The sequence below is a fragment of the Homo sapiens genome, chromosome 10 (assembly GCF_000001405.40).
Source record: "Homo sapiens chromosome 10, GRCh38.p14 Primary Assembly".
Classification (NCBI taxonomy): domain Eukaryota; kingdom Metazoa; phylum Chordata; class Mammalia; order Primates; family Hominidae; genus Homo; species Homo sapiens.
The window spans coordinates 110,734,170-110,758,575 of record NC_000010.11 but is presented as its reverse complement, the minus strand read 5'-3'; the positions used below and the strand labels follow the sequence as shown (position 1 = coordinate 110,758,575).

At 43.0% G+C, this 24,406-nt stretch overlaps 1 protein-coding gene, 1 long non-coding RNA gene and 1 pseudogene across 3 annotated transcripts in view; 1 reads left to right on the top strand and 2 right to left on the bottom strand.

Annotated features, from left to right (window-relative positions):
- Positions 1-24,406, bottom strand: part of RBM20 (RNA binding motif protein 20) — a 196,224-nt gene that overhangs the window by 80,893 nt on the left and 90,925 nt on the right. The window lies entirely within an intron of this gene.
- Positions 1,853-2,120, bottom strand: RN7SKP288 (RN7SK pseudogene 288; annotated as a pseudogene).
- On the top strand, positions 8,263-12,882 carry LOC124902498 (uncharacterized). Its single transcript, XR_007062286.1, has 3 exons — positions 8,263-8,325; positions 9,225-9,305; positions 12,807-12,882. It is a non-coding gene; the product is annotated as an uncharacterized LOC124902498 (long non-coding RNA).

Here is a 24,406-nt window from a genome sequence, read left to right as displayed (position 1 = left end):
TCCCAGTGCTACTGTCATCTTCTCAAAGAGGCCACCTCACAGAGAGTGAACCATATGTCCTGCCTTAAACTTTGGATATATCTCATCCTATTACTGGATTTTGTATGGGCGTGTGGACTCCTCTAAAGCAGGACATATGGTTTACTCTCTGACCTCCTCCCTTATCCTATCTTTATCACTATAAAATTACCTTGTTTATCTTGCACTTTATTGCTTGTCCCTCCCCTGGAATATAAGCTCCATAGGAACAGGGATCTTAGGGCAGGCACAGTGGCTCACGTATGTAATCCCAACACTTTGAGAGGCTGAGGCAGGTGGATTGCTTAAGCCAGGAGTTTGAGATCAGCCTGGGCAACATGGTATAACCCATCTCTACAAAAAATACAAAAATTAGCCAGGTGTGGTGGTGCACACCTCTAGTCCCAGCTACTTGGGAGGCTGAGACAGGAGGATTGCTTGAGCCTGGGAGCTGGAGATTGCAGTGAGCTGAGATCGCACCACTGCACTCTAGCCTGGATGACAGGTGAGCCCTGTCTCAAAAAAAAAAAAAAAAAAAAAAAAGAACAAGGATCTTGCCTGTCTTTTCTATTGCTGTATGCCCTATGCCTATGACAGTATCTGCCACAAGCAGAGCTCAATATTTTGAATAAACAACTCACAGTAGGGTCTATCCCATGACTCTGGAGTTAGAGGACAAAAGCCACCCAAAAGAGATGCAGCTAATCTTCCCATGGGCCACCATAATGTCTAAGCATGGGCCCCATGAGGAGCATCTATCTGGGAGGCTGAGTGCTGACGGAGTAGCAGAGTAGACAAAGTCCAACTTGGTCTAATTCTCCTCTAGGAACACCAGTTGCCTTTTATTCCCCAACAGTCAATGCCCAGTGCTGTGCCTAGCACTTTGCACTGTCTTCATTCTCTGTTTTTGCAAAAGACCAAAATATCCTCTAATATAGCATTAGACAGTCTTCAGTATGGTATCACTTTTTGTCCACATGCACCTACAGAAACAAGTAATAGGATGGAATCTATCCTAAGTTTAAGAAGTTAGTATCCTAATACTTCGCATATTCTGTGAGTACTTTTGGGTGCCTCCTCTGGATCAGGAGAAGGAGAAAGACCCACTCTACTCCAACTTTGTTTTACTATTTACTTCAATTAAAATTTGAATGGCAAGGGTATTATACTCAGCAAAACATGAACCCCATGGCCAAACACTCAGGGAGTATAAAGATATAAAAGTTGGAAAACATATCACATGTCACATATTACTGATCTTTCATAACAAGCTGAGTACAAAAGTCACCTTTGTTTAGGATCAAAATATTCAGCAACATAGAGGAATAGAGCAAAGAAAAACAGTGTGTGCTTGGGAGAATAATAAGCAATTAGAAAGCAAAATAAAAGCAGGTGGAATCTGTGCTCTGAACCACACTAGGAAGGAATCCTCATAGTCAAGGAAGCTGGGGGACTGGAAGCTAACAGCCCAATAGCTTGCCAAGAAAAAGAGGGGGCAGCTTGGAGAAACTTTGGCAGTATATCCTCTAATTCTTGCTGAGGGAACAAATCTGATTGTAAGTTGTTTTTCCCTGAAAGAGCACATGGCAATTGTTTGCTGAGGCTTTAACTGATCTCTTAGTGACATTAATTAATAAATGCACCAACCTCACTTGTGTAGGAACACTGCAGAACACTCAATTTTGAGAGAATTGGCAAGGAGATACCAAGTTTGGGTCCTTCTAAGTTTTATTAATTCAAATTCCAGTATCCATTATGAAATGATTTCCAGGAAATGGGGTCTGCTCTGATGCATATATCGTGACAACCACAAGGTTGTATAAGACCTGGTGACAGCCAGAAAGATTAGCTCCCACCTTCAGGCTTTCTGCATTTTGTCTTTTGCTAAGTCTTAAACAGAGAAGCACAATCACCTCCCTACCTTGACCAAATGATAGAACTCCTCTGGACAGAAAGGTCACATTCACTGCCATGAGCCCAGATGTGGGAGGAATGTGCATTGAGGTATGAGGAGGGAAGAGATGCCAGCTAGGCGGATCAGCCACATCAAACCTCGTGAGCAATGGGATGACAAACATCCTAGCCAGATCACTTTCACAGCCATCCTCAGTGGCTCCTCTAAATCTCAGCTTCTCTCTTAGGTGGGCATACTTGTGTTCTCTGTATAGGAAAAGACTAGAAGCGTTCTGAGGGCACGGATGCCACAATACCCAGCATGGTGCTTTCCACAGAGGAGAAGTCCATTAAGTGTTTTCTGAATCTGTAAATGATTTACAGGCTTTTCCTCATGTTGATTATAGCATCAGAGGTTTCCATCCAAATCTGGGATATGAGGACTGAACAGTCAAGAATTCATTCTTAACACTCAAGGTTTAAAGTTTTAAAATCGTGATCCAACACCAACTGGCTAAATCGTGATGTTGAGGGGAGCCCAAAGATGGGACTCACAAACCTGGCCCAAATTTATCCACTGAAGTATCCTGAGCCATGGCCACAGTCAGGAATCCGCTGTCATTGTCACAGATGCACGTTGGAGCGTTAAAGATCAGGGCATGCATGAGAGAAGAGGCTGCTGACTAACGCTGTCTCCACAGCCTGAATCAAAGCCAGCTGCCCTAACTTGAAGGGGCTGGATGGTGGCCACTCCAGGGCAGCTCAGGGCCAGGCTGAGGTGGTTGGGAAGCCAGCTAAGAGTAGTTTTCCCTTGGTGGTCATTTTTTTTAAGGCAAGGATGAAACTTATTGGCCAACCAATTAAAGTTACCCCTTGAGGAAACAACAGATGGCATCAAACAAGATGGGCTTTTCCATTCCCCAGTGTTAATGTGCAACCAGTAAAAGTCTCTCACCTTTTCCCCCAAGATGGGACACCAGGTCAATATCCCATGTGGCTACTAATATCTTAAAGCAAATAAAAACTTGTGGCCCTACATTCCCTTGATTTTTTCTGCACTGTAAATTTCTAAATTTCCTAAAGACACATAACACAATTATTAAATTGTAAATAAATATTAAACACAATTGTAAAATTTTACACAATAGAAATGTAATAGCTATTTCCTACGAGGGAAGGTTAGGTGATTGAATTATTGGATGAGCCCTCAGCTAAAAACAACTCTGAGTAAGTAACCATAAAAACACTGAAGAGCTGAATGATAGCACATCCCTACCAGGCTGATTTAGGGAGAAAGCTTTAACCTAAAGAGACTCGAGGATGATTTGAGTGCCAAAGCTGCTTTTGCCTTGCAGACATCAAAGGGGTAAGGATGAAAGATGTCAGGGCCCAGAGCACATCTGATGTAGACTCTTACAGGAGACATATACCTACAGTAAGCTGGGTCCCAAAGGGCCACACCCTCAGGATTAGGATGAACCAGGAGTAATATGTCACTTCCTGTCCCCCCCAAACCCATAGGCCCAGAGAGAAACCTGAGCAAAGCAAGAGAGGAAGTAGGAAGGGGATAAAATTACCCCTGAGATGTGACCAGAGGCCTGCCCTCATCCAGATTTGCACCCCAGGGTTCTATATCATACATGGACAATGAATTTCATTTGTAGTGACTCCAAAAGGCAACCAGAGGAAGGAGAGCACACTCATTCTAAGCCTCAGGGGATCTCCACACATAATTTCTTTACGGGCAATAACTAGTGAAATTGTCAGGCGTATCAGAAAATAGATCATCAGGCATAGAAGGAAATAAGGCAACATGAGTGAGAACCAGCATAAACAGCAGAGAGCAGAAACCGACCTGGACACACTTCAGATGCAAACTCAGTAAGTTTATATTTGCTAACCACATGAAAAAGTAAACAAGCTTGCAAATATCTGCAGAGCACCAAAAACTGTAAAAACTGACTTAGTAGATTTGGAAAAGAATCAAACAGAACTTCTAGAAAGGAAAAATTTAAAAACAAATGAAAATCTTATTGAAGTGTTTGGCAAAAGATTAAAAACAATAGAAGAGAGAATTAAGGACCAGAGGTTAGATCACAGGAAATTGTTCAAAATACAGCATCAAAAGCAAAAATATGGAAAGCACAGAAGAGTGGATTTAGACTATAGGGGATAAGTCAGAAGGCCCAACATATATTTGACTGGAGTCCCAAAAGAGGACAATGGGGATGGGAATGAGGTAATATGGAAAAGATAAAAGCTGAGAATTTTCCAGGACTATTGAAAGACACTAAGTGGTCAAAAGACCAGAGAATCCCAAGCAAAGTAAATGTTAAGGAATGTACACCTAGACCCATCGTAGTTACCAGTGATCACAGTGATTAAAACCAAGAGAAAAGCTTAGAGAAAAAAATATACAGATTATCTTAAAAGGGATCATACTTAGACTAAAAAATATCTCAACATCAAAAATGGAAGCCAAAAGACAGTGGAATAATATCTTTAATACGCTGAAAGAAAATAATGACAAATCTATAATTCTGATGAGGAAAGATGAATGACCCCCAAAGATATTCAGGTCATAGTCCCTGGAAGCTGTGAGTGTTACCTCATATGGCAAAAAAGACTTTGCAGGTGTGATTAAGTTGAGGATCTCAGAATTTAGATCTCATAACCTAGATGGGTAGATTTGGGTGGGCCCTAAGTGCAGTCAGAAGTGTTATACAGGCCAAAGAGGGATTTGACACAGAGAAGGTGATGTGACAGGAGAGAGATTTGGAGATGCTACAATGGCTGCTGTCTTTGAGGATGGAGAAGGGGGCCATGAATCAAGCAATGCAAGGAATGCAGCATCGCAATGCTGGGAAAAGAAAAGATTCCCCCCTAGAACCTGCAGATGGAGCGCAGCTCTGCAGACACTTTGACTTTAGCCCAGGGAAACTGATGATGGGCTTCTGCCTTCCAGAATCAAAGGAGAATGAATTTGTGTCGTTTTGAGTCACCAGGTTTGTGGTAATTTGTTACAGCAACCAGTGAAAACTAAGACAACTGCCACAAATACCCTGCCACAGTGAAGTGAAATCCAGGAGTTTTCAGGCACGCAAAGAGTTCCTCACCAGCAAGGGAAATTCTAAAGATTACATTTCAGGCAGAAAGAAAGTGATCCCAGATGGAAGACTGGAAACACAAAAAGGAATGAAGAGCAAAGAAAGTGACAGATGCATGATGAGTAAATCCAAATGAACTTCCACTGTGTAGAACAATATATTTTGTTGGTGTTCTTTAAAAATATAGAATTAAAATACAAAACAATGAGAGAAAATAAGTTGGGAGTGGTTAAACATTTTTAGAGTGTTCCAAGGACCTTGAGTTACTCTATGGGAAATGAAAGCTTTGATAAACTTTAGACTGTCAGTATAAATATTATAATTTCGCCAGGCACGGTGGCTCACACCTGTAATCCCAGCACTTTGGGAGGCCGAGGCGGATCACAAGGTCAGGAGTTCGAGACCAGCCTGACCAACATGGTGAAACCCCGTCTCTACTAAAAATACAAAAATTAGCCGGGTATGGTGGCGCACGCCTGCAATCCCAGCTACTCAGGGGGCTGAGGCAGGAGAATTGCTTGAACCCGGGAGGCAGAGGTTGCAGTGAGCCGAGATCTCACTGCTGCACTCCAGCCTGGGCAACAGAGGGAGACTTCATAAAAAAAAAAAAAATATATATATATATATATATATATATGTATAAATATATAATATATATGTATTATAATTTCTAGAATAGAGCATGTAACTCTCAAAATAATAGAAACACAAGTGGTAAAATTATAGAGAAAAGCAAGGAAATTACACAAAGGTGTAAGTGAGGAAGGAGGCTGGGATGGCTGAGGGACCCTCGAGGGCTTCTGGGTGCCAGGGGCATCCCATTTATTGACCCAGTGATAGATACATAGGTGTTTGCTTTATTTGTTAAACTTTGCATAGATGCCTTAAGTATTTTTGGGTGTGTATGCAATATTTTACAATGAAAAATCATTGGAAAAAAATAAGTACATATTTATCCCTTTCAACTACATCTATATCCAGAAATCTTCTTAGTTCAGTGTTTAGCAGATCAAAAATCCATACATGTGTTCACACAAAAACCTGCACACAGATGTTTATAGCAGCTTTATTCAGAATTGCCAAAACATGAAAGAAACCAAGATGTCTTTCAGCAGGTGAATGGCTAAATAAACTGTAATACATTCAGACAATGGGATATTATTCAGCACTAAAAGGAAATGAACTATCAAGTCATGAAAACACATGGAGTAAACTTAAATACACATTACTAGGTGAAAGAGGCCAGTCTGAAAAGGCCATATACTGTATGATTTTAACTATGTGACATTCTGGAAAAGGCAGAACTATAGAGACAGTAAAAGGGTCAGTGATTGCCAGGGGTTAGCGGGGAGAAGGGATATATAGGAGGAGCACAGAGGGTGTTTAGAGCAGTGAAACTATTCTGTATGGTGCAATAATGATGGATACACGTCATCATGCGTTTGTCCAGACCCACAGAACGTACACCACTAAGAGTGAACCCCAGTGTAAAGGACAGACTTTGGGTCTTATGATGAGTCAATGTAGGGTCATCAATTGTAACAAAAGTACCAGTCTGGTGGGGGATGTTGGCCATAGGGGAGGCTGTGTGTGTGTGGAGGCGGGGGTATATCGGAAATCTCTGTACTTTCCTCTCAACTTTGCTGTGAACCTGCTCTAAAAAAAACAGTCTTTCAGAAAGAAAAAAAAAGTGTGCCTGAGCAGAGGATCTGCTCTATCTCCCCCAAGTTCCTTCCCAAAACCCAACATCAATAGAGTTTTTTTTAATTTCTATTTTACAATATTGGTCCTTTACCCAATAAACTTTGATGTTATTTAACAAAAAAACCCACAGATGGGTTCTCCAAAAATGGTTTCATCCAGTCCCTGTCTAAAGGCAAGTAAATTACTATTATAACTCATTTATGGATGATGCAATTGAAGTCTAATGAAGTTAAATGATTTATCCAAAGTGTGCTTGCCATGACGGTTTAGGTGCAAGAACATATTTGGTTACAGATTATAGAGGCATAATTATGAATTTTGTCAGACATTATTTTATGTGTAGGAAAGGCAAGGACTGGGGTCATTTCTCTTTTAGGAAATATAGTGACTTAGGCAAAAGACATGGGGGGCATGTTTTTTATCTTCTTTGGTCTTTAAAGTATCTTTTTGGAGAGTGGTATGTCATCACAGAATTAGGGGCTTTGTGAAATGATGCTGTGGAGATGAATAAACATGGCTTTTTATGTTTGTCACTTTATCTCACAGTCTCTTAAAATTCATTCCTGTGGTAAAGAGGGGCCCTTAGAGAAGGCCTTGCCTTTCCACTCAGACTTTCTTGTCATCTAGCACCCAGACAGGTTTTACAGAGACATCCTGTAAGGTCTGAAGAATCTGTGCACACACAAATTACTTAAGATGATGGAGACATTGGTTATACTCCCTGCTTAGATTGACAGCAGTGATAGCTATAAGTATGTAGCCCCAGTGGAAAACCACACTACCTTCCTCTTACCTTCAAAGCCCTCTCTCTGCTGGCAAAAAGGAAAGCATGCCCTACGTCACTCTAGTCTGCCCCACTTCGCAGATGAGAAAACTCAGGCAGAAGTGGTCAGCAGGTCTGCAGGTAAAGCAGAATTCCACAACTCCCATTTTCAAATTACCAGCCCACAAATGACCACCTTGCTTAAAACACTGGTACCTCCTTAGAGACCCATCGCACCCTTCCTTCATCACCCCACCATACCCAGGTGTATTTCTTGGCTCCTGAAAGGCCTCATGATTTCAGACCAATAATGAAGCCCAATTAAGCAGGTACACTGATGTCAGCAGCATGATGCTCCTAGTCAGTCCCAGAAAATTCAGAATCTCTGCCACTTGTCAGGGAGCACACATTTCATTACAGAACACCCAGTTTCACCCTGTCAAGGAAAACAGCAAGGTCTAGAGCTTAAAAGAAATCAGGCAGCATCTATGAATTAAGAGGTCGGGTAAGTAAGAATTGAATGCAATGAAAACAATTTCCCCATGCTTGGATAGAACTTAATGCTTGTGACGATGCTCTTCCCCACGCGTTCTTCCTTCTCTGCTCCTCTAGCAGTTGTAACCTGCCCCACAGAGAGAAGAGAAAATGTGAGCGCTGGCAAGGGAGGAGGACCTAAGCTAGTAATCAGTCCAACCCTCTTGTTTTCCAGAGCACACAGCCCCTGAGAGGAAGGTCCTCACCCATGGACGCAGCTTGCTGATGGCAGTGATAAGATCAATCAGGATTTTGGGTTTGGCAATTTCCCCCTATACAACGATAGTTTCCACCTTTCATGCTGAGGTTGGTAGTTGCTTTGTGTTGTCTTAAAAATTTTTTAAACATGGAAATATTTCTAAGTGTAACAAGCCCTTGTGTCCCCACCAACCAGGATTAACCAATGTTAACATTTTTATCATTTTTCACATGATGGATAAAGCTGATGTCCCCTGTCCCATTCTCTCCCCTCACTCTGTGTCCAGAGGCAACACCTATGTGTATACTTCTAGGCCATAATCTTATATTATACACCTATAAATCATAATACTTTAACCTAGTCAAATTTATCATTTTTTTCACTTCTGAGTTGTGTTTTTTGGATCCTTTCTAAGGAATTCTTTTTAACCTCTCAGGTCATAAAGATATTCTCCCGGGGTTGGCTTCTGACAGTGTTAACATTTTGATTTTCACATGCTGGTTTAGCTGAGATTTATCTTGGTATGTGTTGTGAGATGCAGATCTAGTATCTTTTTTTATAGAAAGCTAGTTGTCTCAAGATAAGTCAATGATGTGCTCAGCCTTTCCCACTCATTCATCATGCACTGTTATCTAGTATTAAATTCACAGTGATTCTTAGGCCTGTTTCTCTGCTCTTTCATTTGCTTTCTTGACCCTTTTATTCTTTTTTAGACATATCAGACCTGTGGATGTACCTTACTCTTCAAATCAATTTTAGAATTGGTTTCTGTAATTGCAAGATAAATCCTGTTGGGATATTTATTGGAATTGTCTTCAATGAGACACTTTTACACAAATGAGCTATCCTATCTACGAACATATCATATTCTACTTATGATATACTTTATGTTTTATAATTTTTTCTATTAAAGAACTAGGCATATTTTATTTAATTTTTTTCTAGGTACCCTATTGTTTTATTGTTATTGTGAACTGTATCTTTTTTTCTATAACATTTCCTATAGGTTACTGTAGTTCGGCAGAAATGCTATTGCTTTCTGTACATGGACACTGAATTTCCAAAAGTATTACATATAATAAAAGAGGTAAGCAACTCGTTGAAAGTACACAACCATATCATCTCCACATAACAATAATTTGTCTCTTACTTTCCATCCTTGTGCTTCATTTATTTTTCTTGTCTTACTGCATTGGCTAGGTTCTTCAGCACAATGCTGAATCACAGCGGTGACATTTAGCATCTCTTATCTTATTTCTGACTGTAATTGGGAATGCTTCTAAGGTTTTCCCAGCAAGCATGATGTTGGTCATAGGATGTAACTGTCTTTTTCATGTTCTCAGATTACATCTTCCCAATTAGTAAGCTCCTTGAGAGTAAGGCCTAAATATCATACATTTTCCCATCCACCACAAAACACTGTGTGTCACACAGTAGGCAAGTCCATAAAGACGAAAACCACATTAAGTGGTTGCCAAGGAGAGAGTGACTGCTTAATGGGCACATGGTCTCCTTTGTGGGTAATGAAAAGGTCCTGGAACTAAATAGTCATGATGATTGCCCAGCATTGTAAATGCACTTAGTGGCACTGAACTGTGTACCTTAAAATAATCAAAATGGTAAATTTTGTGGTATGAGTATTTTGTCACACACACAGAGAGCGAGAGAGAGAGAAAGAGAGAGAGAGAGAGAAGATATAACTAGTCCAGGGACACAACAACTCGTAAGTGTGATTACGAGAACCCAGTTTTTCACTGTAATTTTAGGAGTCAAAAGAGAGCTACCCCCTACATCTCTACATTGAGCCCAAGTCCAGTACATTCTCCCTGATGCCTCCTCTGAGTGATCCAGGCCTCGGTAGCCCTTGTTTCCAGACACAACCATGGTACACACCCTGGCATGAAACCCTATCTGCCCCATATCACTCTCTGGTCATTTCATGCACACTGGTTTAGTTCCCCAGGTAGACATACTCTGAGCTCTTTGAGTCCAGGGCCCATGAGCCCTCCCCACAGGGCTCACTGGCTTGACTACTGTTGTGGAAACTGAAAAGCATACCAAATGCTTATTTATATGTTTCACAGTTTTAACTTGCATTTTAGCTAAAATGTTCCCACATTCTTTTGGTTAGCAAAACATAACAGGCTCTCCTTTTGCCACTGATTCAATCTCAGGAAATGCCTTTTCGCCATAGAACTCCTAAACCCATTGCTGCCTATTGTTTTCTCATTAATGAAAAAAAAAGTTAACACTACTTTCTCCACTTACTCATAAAAGTTTCATTTCTCTACTTCAAACACTGTGTGAACATTAAAAGGTGCTATAGGTTGCATTTTAATAGAACAAGACAGTAAATAAAAGCATATGAAATTACAGCCTAGGAGTTTAAACACGTAATATTTCAAAGAAGTTTTACTTCACTTGAAAAAGTTTTCTCTTTCAGAAAGAAAACTTTCTAAAAAGTTTTCTCTTTCAGAAAGAAAACTTTCTAAAAGGCTTTCTCTTGCAGAAAGAAAACTTTCTAAAAAGTTTTCTCTTTCAGAAAGAAAACTTTCTAAAAGGCTTTCTCTTTCAGAAAGAAAACTTTCTAAAAAGTTTTCTCTTTTTAGTGTATTTAGAAATTAGCAAGGAAAACCCAGATTAAAAAGTCATTTAATCTACCTTCTAGCCTTGGATGCATCACTTACTTTTGGTCCCAGCCAAGTACCTCAAACCCTGGGTGTTAGTTTTCTTATTCACAAAATGGAAATAAAAGTGTCTTCCTGTTAGTCTTAGAGAAGCATTGTAACCCACGATTAAGACAACAAACAAGAAAGTGAGTAGTAAAGGGCAGAGCCCTGACTATAAGGGAGAAACTTGGGACAGAGGATCTCTGAGTCCAGAAAGGGAAGAAAGGAGGTGGCAATGACTGTCTCTCCCCATCCTTGGCTCCAGGTCTCTGCACCACTGATCACCTAGTCTAGCAGGTGCTTTGAGCCTGGGCAGGATCTGTGGAAGTGGCCAGTGGATCTGAAGGGGGTTGAGAAGCCAGTGCTACCCTGCCAGAATGACCCCCCCCCCCAAAAAAAGAGTTTTTAAAATCAATGCTCAACTTTTCTCCCAAATGATGATGCAAATACCAGTAATACACAAGCAGGTGGAGGTTATTTTTAGTGAGGGTATTTTTTTAACTTTCTATTCTGAAATACTTATAGACTTGCAAGAAGTTGCAAAAATAGTACAGAAAGGTCTATGTCCTTATCTCCTATCTTCCCCAATGATAACATCTTATATCACTATATTACATGATCAAAACCAGGAAATTGACACTGGCACAATACAATGGACTAGACTGCAGGCCTTAATCAAATGTTATCAGTTTTTGCAGACACTGTTATACAAACAACTATAATGGTGCAGAGGGTAGAAAAAAGAAAAAGAAGTGGTATAGAATTATTTACATCACTAGGATGAAATCAATACAATGTAATTTCGATAGACAATTCATGAGTATGCAAACAATTTTTTTATTACAAACGATATTTTTCTTCATGATTGAGTCCATTGTGATGGGATGATATTTGCAGCATCTTACTCCAGTCCCCCATTTGGGGAGGTGAAGAAATTTCCCACAACAGTTCTAGAAGAGTCAGGGAGAAAGAGGCATCCAATGCCCATTGCAACCCTAATCCCAGACCCTCTCCATAGGTAGCACTGCCTGCTCCCAATCCAGCTGTGCAAAATCATAGAATTCCCACAGCTTGAAGGGCATCTCCAGGTGGAATTTGGTGCCGGCCTTGAAATACTCGGGGTCGACTGAGCAATGCCACCATCTGGTGGTCAGACAAAGAACTAAGGAAAGCAGTGGCAGCTCTCCATTTGTGGGTCTTACCAGTTGAGCAACCTTTTAAATCTATTCCAGGAGGCTCTACTTAAGGTACAGCCATACTAAATGTTGTAATAAAGAATGTTTCGTAATGAGAATAACCACTCTACAGTGGATTAAATATGGCCACAAATTCCTGGAAGCCCCTCCCATTAAGACATGAGTCTATTTCCCTATCCTTTGAATCTGGGCTGGGCTCTTGACTTGCTTTGAAGCAGAATGCACAGGAAGAGATGCTGTGTAACTTCCAAGCCTCTACCTCAATTGGCCTCAGAGTTTGCCCCTCACCCTCTTGGAAGACTGCCACTTTGTGAACAAGCCCGCACCAGCCTCCTTCAGCATGAGATTCTAGTGGAGAGAGAATCTCCATTTCTCCTGAGGTCCCACGCATATGAATTCCAGCCGAATCGCTACCAAACGTGGTGATGAGCGAGCCCAGGCAAGAACAGCTGAAGGCAACTCAAGTCATAACCCACAGAATCATGAGAAATAATAAAGGGTTCTAAATCATTAAGTTCTGGGGTGGCTTATAATGGAACAGATTTGAACATTCTCAAATTATTGTTTAAAAAATCTGTACTGTGGACAAGCTTAAGGTTTATTATTACTATTTTAAACTAGATTACTAGGCAGGGCATACATCGCTATTTCCATATGGTAAACCTTGCTTGTTGCATGCATTTTGAATATACGGCATACTTTGATTTTCCTTTGCATTTTCAGCCCTCCTCACATGTTATCACGCATTCATTCATCAAACACCAAGCATGTTGAAAGTGACAGCTCCTGGAGTAGGCACTAAGGATGTGACATTGAATTGGATATGACGGCTACTCCTGAGAAGCTCATGGCTATTGGAGAAGATACGTATGCAAATGCTGAGTGACCACTCCCAGTGGAAGCAAGACAAGGGGCTAAGTTAGTCAGGACCCAATAAAGAAAAGAGAAACCACTCCAAATCCCTTGGAGAATTTAATCCAGAGAATTTATCAAACAGACAAGAAGGTACACAAAAGCTAGTGGGGACAGGAGTAGCAATAGAGCCCTGGAAGATCCCCAGCCACTGTCAGACAGCCAGCCACAGAGGAGGGGGAGAACCACCCTGGCATCCCTCTCCGACCACCCTGCAGTCTCACCCCAGAGGCTTGCACTGTTCAAACCCAGCAGGCGCCTGGAAATGCAGCCTGCAGGGATCAAATCCCTGGGATGTGGAGCACAGGAGGGGAAGAACAAGGCTTATGACTTGCCATGGTGGTATTCAGGCTAGAAAGTCTTTACAGCAGAGGCAGTGGCTGGGCCAAGCCTTGACACTTAGAAGAACTGGACTCTATTTGGAGATGTTTTGCAGTCACATTTGGGTTTGCCCAGGAGAAACAGGGATGAAAAAGCAGAGGGTTTGTATTCAAGCAACTGCTTACAACATTGACCCAAACAACAGTAACCACGAGGAGAGTGACAGTGCATAAGAAAGATGCCAGCACCCCCAGGGAGGAAGTGCTGGAGTTCCGGAGAGGCAGAAGTAACCTCTCGCTCTTGGCTCCTTTTGGTGCTGGGAGGACAGTAAGGTCAAGGCCATCCCTTCAGCTGTCCTGAACACAAGCCTCTTGACCCACATGGTGGCCGCTATGTTTCACCATGAGCCAAGCAAAGGACCAAGATGGATTCATTGCCTTTGTTCGAAATATAACTGAGTCTTCATATCAGCAGATTTCTTTCCTTGTCTTCTTGGTACAAGTGTACATATCTTTAGATTTCTTATTTCAGTAGCTAAATATACATCTAAACTCATTTGAAATGAAATAGGGACTGGCTCTTTCACATTCTAAAGTATGGTTTGCAAACTTCAGCAGGCCTCAGACACACCTGGAGGGCTTGTTCAAACACAATATCACTAGCATCCACCCCCAGAGTTTCCGTTCAGTAAGTCTGGAGGAAGGTTTGAGAATCTGCGTTTCCATCAAGTTGCTAGGTGGATATTGCTGCTGGTGCAGGACCACACTTTGGGAACCAATGTTCAAAGGTATTAACTTTCCTCCAAGTTCTTTTATTTTATATATCAACCCACCTTCACCTTTCATCACCTTGGTAGTGGCGTTTCCCAGCCACAAGCATCAGCCCGGTGCTGGTGAAACTACAGCTCCCAGTCACTCCCCTGGAGATTCTGAGGGCCTGGAATGCTACCTTCAAGGGCCCCAGGAGAGTCACATCAGGGTGACAGAAACCACAGGCATCCTGCAAACCTACTGTGTGCCAGGCACTGTGCTTGACAGTGATTGACAGGCGCTATTTCGTGTGATCTTCCTTATACTTCCGCTTGCATTTCCTCTGTATAGAGAGGTATCTGAGGCACTGAGAGGTGAAGGAGTTTGCCCAGTGCCACACAGCCAGCAAGTGGAAGAGCTGAGGCTCAAACTCAGGAAATGTGACACCACCCTGTCACTGTACTCCCAATCATTCTACTCTATTTCTTCCTAAAGAAAAGGGGACTGGAGCCCCCACCAGGATCACTGAAAAATTTCTCTAGTGAAGAGAAGCTGATCTCTTCCAACAAGGAACACCAAATAAAAATAAAAGGACAGCTGGGCACCGTGGCTCACACCTGTAATCCCAGCACTCTGGGAAGCTGAGGTAGTCGGATCACCTGAGGTCAGCAGTTCAAGACCAGCCTGGCTAACATGGTGAAACCCCATCTCTACTAAAAATACAAAAATTAGCCGGGTGTGATGGTGCGCATCTGTGGTCCCAGCTACTCAGGAGACTGAGGCATGAGAATCGCTTGAACTGGGAGGCAGAGGTTGCAGTGAGCTGAGTTTGTGCCACTGCACTCCAGCCTGGGCAACAGAGCAAGATGCCACCTCAAAAAATAATAATAATATAAAAGAACAATGTGGGTATTGCATGCATGCATGCATGTGTGTGCCTCTGTGTATGTTGTGTGTGTGTGTGTGTGTATGTATAAACTGAATCAGAAGGCTGGGAGAAGGTGAGAAGAGGGAGAAGCTTTGGACTAAAGTTGACCATTAAAACCTAGTAATTAACAAATAAAAAGTGTAACTATTTATCACATGCAACATAAAATAAGATATATCACGTTAAACTTGTCATTTGATGAACTGTGAAAAAAATAACCCCAGTTAGCCCATGAAAACTCTTACCCCTTTTGGCAAGCCACTTAATCTCTCTGTGCCTTGGTCTAATGGTCTGCAAAACAGAAATTGATTTACCCCATTGGAGGTTTAGAGAATTAAGTGAAATAATGAATGTGAAAGCCTCTAAGCTCATAAGCCTTTTTTTTCCATTGTTGGTAAAATATACAGTTCATAAAATTTAACACTTCATATAAACCTTTCAAAAATAATTTGTAAAATACATTGTGTCTGAGTTCCTTAAACAGGGGAGTGATTAAACCCTGAGGTTTTCGGAACCCTGCCAGGCTTGAGGTGCTCTGAGAGTGATGGCTCGTGCCACAGTGAGAAGGCTTCACACTGTCCCTGTGCAACTGACTTGATGACAGCCCGGGCCGCCTTCCGGGGAACACATCTCTCCCAGGTCCATGCTCAGCAGAAAGCAGATCTTTCACAGTGAGAGTTGGAGGTGAGGCACACTGTTGAAGAAGATGCAGATGAATCTCTTTATGTTTCTAGCATCAGCCCTCTACTCAAGAACCCGAGCCTCTGCTTTGTGCAGCTTTTGGGGGTTTGAAATACTAACCGAGCCTCCCAGCTACTACCTAGGTGCTTTTGAAACAGGTGAGCTACTAAAATATAGACCAGCTGCCTGAACAGTAGCAGTAGTGGTTGGATTTGTGTGTCAAGTTTGGGTTCTGTTTTATTTTGTCTTTTGTAAAAGAAAGAAATCATGTTATGAGAAAGTGAAACTTCTGTACAAAGAAGTTCGGGGGTAAAGAAAAAAATCCTGGGTTCAACTGGGTTTCTTTCCTTTAGTAGCTCCAGAAAAAGGCCAGGATGAGCACACTGCCAGGGGACTGTCACAGGCCCCACACTCAAGACCAAGGTCCAGGGGTCCATGTTGCTAAGGTTCCAGAGACTTCAGTGGTTCATGCAGCAAAACTGTCCAAGTCCAAGTCCTGTGTCTTCTTCTCTTAAGTCATGTGTGGAAAGTTTGTCCATTAGAGACCTGGGAAAAGGCCTCCAGCCTGGGAGCTAAGAAAGAAATGGCTCAGGAAGCTACTGAAAAGTGAAAGTCTTCCTTGTCCCCAGCCCCTGACTTGGGAGAGGGCAGTAGTGCAGAAGGCTCCTCTGATGAGGAGGTGTAGATAGAAAAGTCAGGCTGGAGAGAGCAGATTCCTCTGGCAGAATCGCAGAACATCAGGTCAGGAAGGGACTTTGAGGCTCCTCCTAGGTTTATTTATTATTTTTTACAGGAACTACATCATGAACTAACTTCTGGGTTCATTTAATCTACAAAAAAGGGTGGAGCACTCACTGGGGTCAGGCTGAACCTGGTGTCTCAACTTTCAGTCCACTACATTTCCCTCCCTCTGTCAAACTGGGCAAAGATAATTTCAGCAGCTTTTGGGTTCTGCCCTAGAGGAGTGTACGTCCATGGGGAGGCAGGCACGTAAACTGATCATCCTCACACTGGGTGGGAAGTGGGCATTCTAGAGGAGCAGGATCCTGGAAGAGGTACTGCAGGGCTCTCCTGGGGAGGGAGGGGGGTCATGTACTCTGGTCCTGGAGGGGTTCCTAGAGGAGGTGAGGTCTGAGCTCAGGCTTGGTGAAAGAGTAGGACAAAGCCAGGTGATGGGGGGCAGGGGGCAGCCCTCAGGTACATAGCTACTGGGAATTGAAAACAATTTCAGGCTGCCACAGAGTTGTGAGTTGACAAATGGCAGAAGGCTTGGTGGGGCAGTCTTGGAGAGAAGATAGAGATTCGGGGAAAATTTAGGACTGAAAGCTGGCAGAACTTGGTGAGTGGACATGGGGTAGAGGTGAGGGAAAGGAAGGAGTTGAGGATGACCTGTGGGTCTCTTTCACTTTCTGAGTTGATGGAGGAGTCATGTGGAAAACAAAGGCTGAGTTTGCATGAGTTCAACTTCGGACACATGAAGTTGTTGGTGCCAGAAGATATAATGTGGAAACAGCTGCAGTCCCCTAAATACTGACATCTGGAGCTCAGGAAAGATGACAGAGGCAGATACCTGTTATTTCTCTATTATCTGTGCTTTCTACGTCACCTCTACAGATGATTTCTTATTTTACCTGTATCCACCCTAACAAATATTGAATACCTGTGCTTATTCATAGGTGCTTCTTGACTGGGAAGGAGTGGAAGAGGTCCTAGGTGCAGAAGGGTATGGAAGATAAGGTCAAAGGATGTGCTGGTGGGAATGGGAGACAACTGAGAAGGTGAGACAAGCTGGAGGAAATGTCAGGAGCTGCTGAGAGAAGCTCAGCCTGACCAGAGATGAGAATTGCCATCTTGAATCGTCAGGAAGTGAAGGAAAGCCCAGGTGAATGCCACCCAATCAAAAAGAAAAAACAAATGCAGATGGTAAGGTAGAGAAGGCTCTGAAGCCCAGGTAATGAGAGCCATGTTACCCTGGACAGAAGCATCCAACACCACACATCTCCAAGGATGTTGGAGATCCAGCATCTGGATCCAGCTAACTTCTGCATCCTCTTCTGTACTCACAAGAGTTAACATGGACGTCCATGCATCTGCTGGACAACACCCCCTAGAACGAGTGTCTTTGTATGTTTTCACACACATAATGATGTTATATCTGCTGCCATCCTACTGAGTAAGGGGATGAATAAAGGTAAGAAGAAAACAAGTCACTTTAACTCAAAAAGGAGTCCTCGGGCCACTCCAGTGAACATCAAGGTGGCCATAAACTTGCTTTCCCCACCCCTACCAAGCCCTGGTGGGAGAGGGAGACATGGGGGAAGGGAAGGAGAGAAGGGGCTCCATCTCTCTGGTGGGTCCATAACCCAGTTCTGTGAAAGGCAGCTCCACACACCTGGCTCCCACTAGCTCTCCTGCCCCTCCCTCTGCAGCAGGGCCTTGGGCAAGCTTCTCTTCCCAGCCCCCACCCTTGCCCATGAAACACTCAGACCAAGCTGGTACTACCCCAGGGGCCACTTCTGCCCAATGCATTAAGGTTTGGCTGATTCAAAAACACCCAACTTAAAAAAAATGTTGTTTTCTATCTCCGACACAGTCCTTTTGACCTACACTAGATGGTCTCATCAGAAACAAAAGCATCCTAACCTTCCAAGGTCAACATTACTCCACCTCAACCCACAGCCACAGCCATCAAACACATACCCAAGCCAACAGATGGTTACAAAATTCTAAACAGTGCTCTTTCAGAACTCTGGGGCGAGCTACCCTGGGGCCTCCAACTAGACTTCCTGCCCTGGCCCTGGCCTTGACAATGAACCTGTTTCATCTCAGCAGTTGGCTCGGAAATGCCAAGCTGCCTTGTTGTCCGTGTTTCCAGACAAGTCTGCATTGCTGAGTATCAGGGGCAGCTGGAGCAGGTCTGGGCACTTGGAGAAGGAGGGAGAGGGAGACAGTATAGTGGGGCTGGGAACACCCAGTGAGGGCAGGAGGACCCAGACGGGCAGGGCCGCTGGGAGTGGCTTCCTCACTGCTTGTGGGCTGTGTTAGTCACCCAGGTCGCACAGAAGCCTCATGCCTTCATGACCGCAACAATCACCCAATACTCAGGCCAGGGATTTGAACTGCTGGATCTCAGTGCATTTCCACAGTTCAGTCCTGCAGGTGGGAACTATTAATACCCATTTAGAAGATCAAAGTTGCCCCAAGTCGTACCACAAGGAAGCGTCCCAGCTAGAATGTTCACATTGATGCTGGTGCTCTTTCCCCTGCCACTCTGCCTTCCACCACCACGTCAGTCCTCGAGTTGAGTTCTTTCTGGAAGGCTGTAGAAAACTGGTTTCCAACTTTCCAATCCTAGATTTTCTTTCTTTCTTATGCCTACACACAAGCACTTTTCCCTAATGTAAAATTCTCTGAGGGGTCAAGAGATCCGGCAGCTCATCAAAACAATCCATTTTGAAAGAAAATTTTGGATGAATATAAACATTAAGAGGTTGGGGAATTTTGTCTGTTTTTGTTCACTGCTGAATCCCTAGTGTCCAGGACAGTGCGAGACACAGTAACCCAGAGTGGGCACCTAATGAATGTATATTGAATCAACACTCTTCCAGATTGCAGATTCTTGCAAAATTTTCATGATCTCCTGCTCAAATATCTTCCTAAAAACACAGCATGACTTCAAGAGCCCTCAACTGTACTAAAGTAGTTACATACATATAGCATAAATCAGACTATGCAGGCCTTGGTCCTCAGGAGGACCTGTCAACAGACAGAAAGACATCCATCTGATCCTGTGCCCAGCCAGAAAATGCCACCTGCGACAGGTACTTCCTGACTGTCCAGACACCTCCCCATACTCTCTCAGTTACAGATAAACTCCCTTAAGGATTGTGAGCAGCTGTGGACCATTTCAAATGCTTCCTACTAATTCTTGTAGCTGAATGGGCCCTTCCTGCTCTGCTGTGATACGAATCTGCAAGGAAGGCGAGATCTGGAGAGTTCTCAGACCAACACACCTCACAGCTATAGGTCTGGGCTCCCATCACAGGCACAAAGGCTGCAGCCCCAACCCCAATGTCAGCCTCGCCACCTCCTCTATCCCCATTCCCGCCTCCATGCTCTGGCACCTTGGCACTCCTTCAGCTCCAGGAACATGCCCCGCGTGCTCTTCCAGCTTCCTGGGAAGCTTCTCCCTCACCGTACCCTGGTATACTCTCCTCATCCCTCCAATCTCAGCTGTGTCACTGTTTCAGGAAAGCCCCCCTTCCATGCCACCCTCTCCCCCAGCCCAGATCCACTTCCTATGTCATAAGTGTTAGTCCAAGTTGCACCGTTTCGTAAGCTCCCTGTCATTTCACAGACCTTGGTCAAAGTGAAACATTCCACGGGGGGTTCGGGCCGTGAGAAACAGCCTGACCAACTGCCTGACTTTGCTGGGAGAAAGGGCAAGGAACATCACATTCCACCAGAACAAGGGCCAAACCACCTCATCGTGGGAACATGTTATCAACATTTTCCCAGGCAGCAGGCCATGCTCCCCCCAGACCCCTCCTGCTCAGGCCTATAATTGCCCCAGCCTGTAAGCAGCAGTGGGCACTGGCATTAAGCTGGCCCCCAACCTCTGCAGGTTTTATGTTGGACATAAAGCCTATGTTTTGCTGTAGGGCCGCCAACTCTCTCTCTGTTTTTCTTTAACCCTCACCTTCCCTTTAAAAAACCTAACAGTAAGCTGTCCTGGGATCCTGCCTCTTTCCTCTTCAGCACTTACCTCCATGGCAATCACACCACCTTACCTTGGTGTTTGCTTAATTAATGCTGGCACAAAAGCAGAAACCACATCTGCTTCTGCTCCTTACTATTCCCAATGCCTCACATAGTGCCTGGCATATAGATGATGATTAATGATGACAAGAATCTAGCAGCAGGCAAGACCTGGTCTTATAGGCCCCAGTAAGGAAATTTAACAACCCAGCAATTCCACCCCAGGTGTATACCTGGCAGAAATGTGTACATATGTTCTCCAAAAGACACGTAAAAAATGTTCACAGCAACATTCTTTGTAATAGCCAGAAACTAGAAACAACCTATATCCATCAAGAGTAGAATGAATAAATAGTGGTGTATTCCTGTAATGGAATACTACACAGCCGCGAACACTAACCAGGTATAATTATTTGCTACAACATGGATGAATGTTACGAACATAAAACTGAGTAAAAGAAACTTAGGCACAAAAGAGTATACACCATATCATTCCAATTACGTTAAACTCAAAAAAAAAAAGGCAAACTAATCTATCTTCAGAGAGGTCAACATTGTTAAAGATCGTCAGAGGCTGAAGAGTGACTCAAAAGGTAGCCACTTGTTCCTGGGGTGCTGGTAGTGTTCTGTTTCTTGATCTGGATGCAGGTTTTTAGGGATATGTTCACTGTGTAAAAATTTATCAAGCTGTTCACACATTATTTCTATACATTATACTTTAGGACCTTAGTCATTTCAGATTGCTAAACCTTAGACCAGGTAACTTAAAAACAATAGAAATTTATTGCTCAAAGTTCTGGAGGCTGGGAAGTCCACAATCAAGGCACCAGCAGATTTGGTGCCTGGTGAGGACCACTTCCTCATAGATGGTGCCTTCTTGCTGCCTCCACTCACATGGTAGAAGGGGTGAACAAGCTCTGTTGTTTTTGAGTGTGTGTGTGGGGTGTTTTTTTTTTTTTTTTTTTTGAGGCAGAGTTTCACTCTTCTTGCCCAGGCTGGAGTGCAATGGCACTATCTCAGCTCACTGCAACCTCTGCCTCCCAGGTACAAGTGATTCTCCTGTCTCAGCCTCCCGAGTAGCTGGGATTACAGGCGCGCAACACCATGCCCGGCTAATTTTTTTGTATTTTTAGTAGAGATGGGGTTTCACCACGTTGGCCAGGCTGGTATCGAACTCCTGACCTCAGGAGATCTGCTCACCTCGGCCTTCCAAAGTGCTGGGATTACAGCTGTGAGCCACTGCGCCAGGCCGGGTCTTTTTTATAAGAGCACTAATCCCACTCATGCCTTCATGACTTAATTGCTTCCCAAAGGCTCCACCTCTTAATACCACCATCTTGGGGATCAGGTTTCAAAATATGCATTTTGGAGGGATACAAACATTCAAACCATAGCATTCAATGAAGAGCTTACTGAAAAAAAGGAAAGAAGGCAATTCCTCCATTAGGTGGTGGTGGATCTCAATAGGCCCACAGGGTGTTTGGCAGAGCCAGAGCACAGCCTCCACTGCTCCAGGCATGTTTCTGCATTCCCAGCACACACGGACACCTGCAACCACCATGTCCCTCTCAGTTTCTGTCATCTGGATTGGTTTCTTTCTTTCTTTTTTTTTAAGATGAAGGTAAATATTTAAATTTTCTCTCCCAAGAAAATTCAGATGAAAACAGGATAAGTATTCAATGACCTAATCCAAAAAGTGTATAAAATTTAAAGCAAAGACAAAACAAAATAAAATACCTAGTTCTATACAGCAGTTTTATACAACAGTGTCTTGACACGCACAGATAGTGTGTGACTAAGAAGGGAAAAAGAAGCAAGGAATGGAATTCAGTGCAAACTGGGTATATTGTGTGCAAATGGCATTTGTAGAGAAGTAAATGTGTGGAATGTAATTTGGGAAGATGGACTTTATATCTTTAATTTTTGTAAAAACTGCATTGCAATTTTCTTGCTTTAAGCAACTCCTTCCCAAGCCCTCTGGTTGCAAAACTGTGACTTTGTAATCCTAAATACATGTTATTTGAGATTTGCTGCCAAAAAATTGTGTTTCATCTCCAGGTCTGAAAGTGTGAATGTTCTGGGCAAATGCACTTGTGCTCTCTAAGGAAGACAGGCTGGCGTGTGGAAGGGTTGGTTCTGCCCACCGCCTAGTTAATCTGCCATCAGAGGGAGATGGGTGGGAGATACCATATCTTCAAAGCCTAAGCTTGTGGTTAAATTCCAGAGCCTTTCACTCTTGGGGTGAATGTTCACTAATCTAGCCATGAGATCAGCAATCCTGAACAAATACCCCAAACTCCTACTAAGATACATGTTAATTAGTAACTTTGACTTATGTACCTTTCGTGCATGGGTCAGTGTCCTGAGCTCTACATGTAGTAGCCGATGCTTAACTAGAAGGCATAAAACCTTGAGATGGGGCAAACAGACATGCTCATGCGCTAGATGACTGTTTTCATCAAAACAAAAGCAAATATACCTTTCACCCAGCAATCCTATTTACAGAAATGTATCCTTCCGATGGACTCATACATACATGCCAAGATGGGTGTGCAAGGATCCTCACTGCAGCACTGTCAGTAATAGTAACCTATCAGAGACAATCTAGATTAACAGGAGGCTCGGAAAACACATTATAATAATTTATACAATGGAACACTATTCAATCAGGACAAAAGCGCAAGGTACAGGCTTGTGTGCAGACAGGCTACAATCTCTTCAGAGACACATTGTCAAAACGAAGTTAAGTATGGTGGCTAGACAGTATGCATGATATGTTCCTTTCCACATAAAAAAAATACATGCAGATACATGTTTATGGTAGTTCTCCCTTATCTGCAATGGGGGGATATGTTCCAAGACCCCTACTGGTTGCCAGAAACCTTGGATAGTACCAAATTCTATATATACTATTTATTTTTTCCTATATATACCTGGAATAAACATTTACCTTTTCACTTAAAGGAAGCACTTTATGGCTTCTCTTGGGCATATCTGAATCACCAGCATCACTACTCTTATGCTTTGGGATTGTTATCAAGGAAAATAATGGTTACTTGAACACAAGCCCTGCGATACCTCGACAGTGGACCTGCTCACTGAGATGGCTCCTAAGTGATGCTAGGATGGGTGGTGTATACACTGTGGATACACTGGAAGAAGGATGATTAACGTCATGGGAAGAACAGAGTGGGACAGTAGGAGATTTCATCACGCCACTCAGAACAGCTCACAAATTAAAATTTAGGAATTGTTTATTTCTGGCATTTCCCATTTAACGTTTTCAGATTGTAGTTGACCAAAAGTCGCTAAAACTGTGGAAAGTAAAGTTGCAGATTCAGGGGGCATGAGTGGGGAGCACTGTATATAAATAAAGAATATCTCTGGGAAGAGACCCAAGAAACTGAGTCAGGAGCCCTATTTTACAAATGAGAAAATATCTCCTCTTAAGATTAAAATTACTGACCTCAATGGGTTGGGGGGTCTGGGTATACTAAGGACACTCTCAAAAAAAAAAAAAAAAAAGAGGGAATTTTTATATTGGTTCCATGATAGAAAAAAAAAGACAGCATCTTGGCTTATAGAATAAAATGAGTTCACCCACAGGATTTAATAAGGTAGGTAACAACATGAAATCAACATAGATGCAAATCCATATTGAGCAGAGGGAATCATTTCCAGTGACACCTGTAGTTCAAAGAATACTCAAAACTGTATCTGAAAGTAAATGACTTAAAAGTTACAAATGTGTATGAGTGCCCAGAGCCAATCTTGAGGGGCCATTTCTCTACTGACATAGCAGTATTTGTGGACCTGATTTTCCATGTTCTAGTCTCTTCTCCATCCCTCTTTCTGCTCCTACAATCTCACCATCCTTTTGCTCAACATCTCATCCAAGGAAGCACGAATCAGTTTCTCCTGGGACACAAATGAGACCCTCTTATCACACTCTATGACATTCTAAAAACCAGATT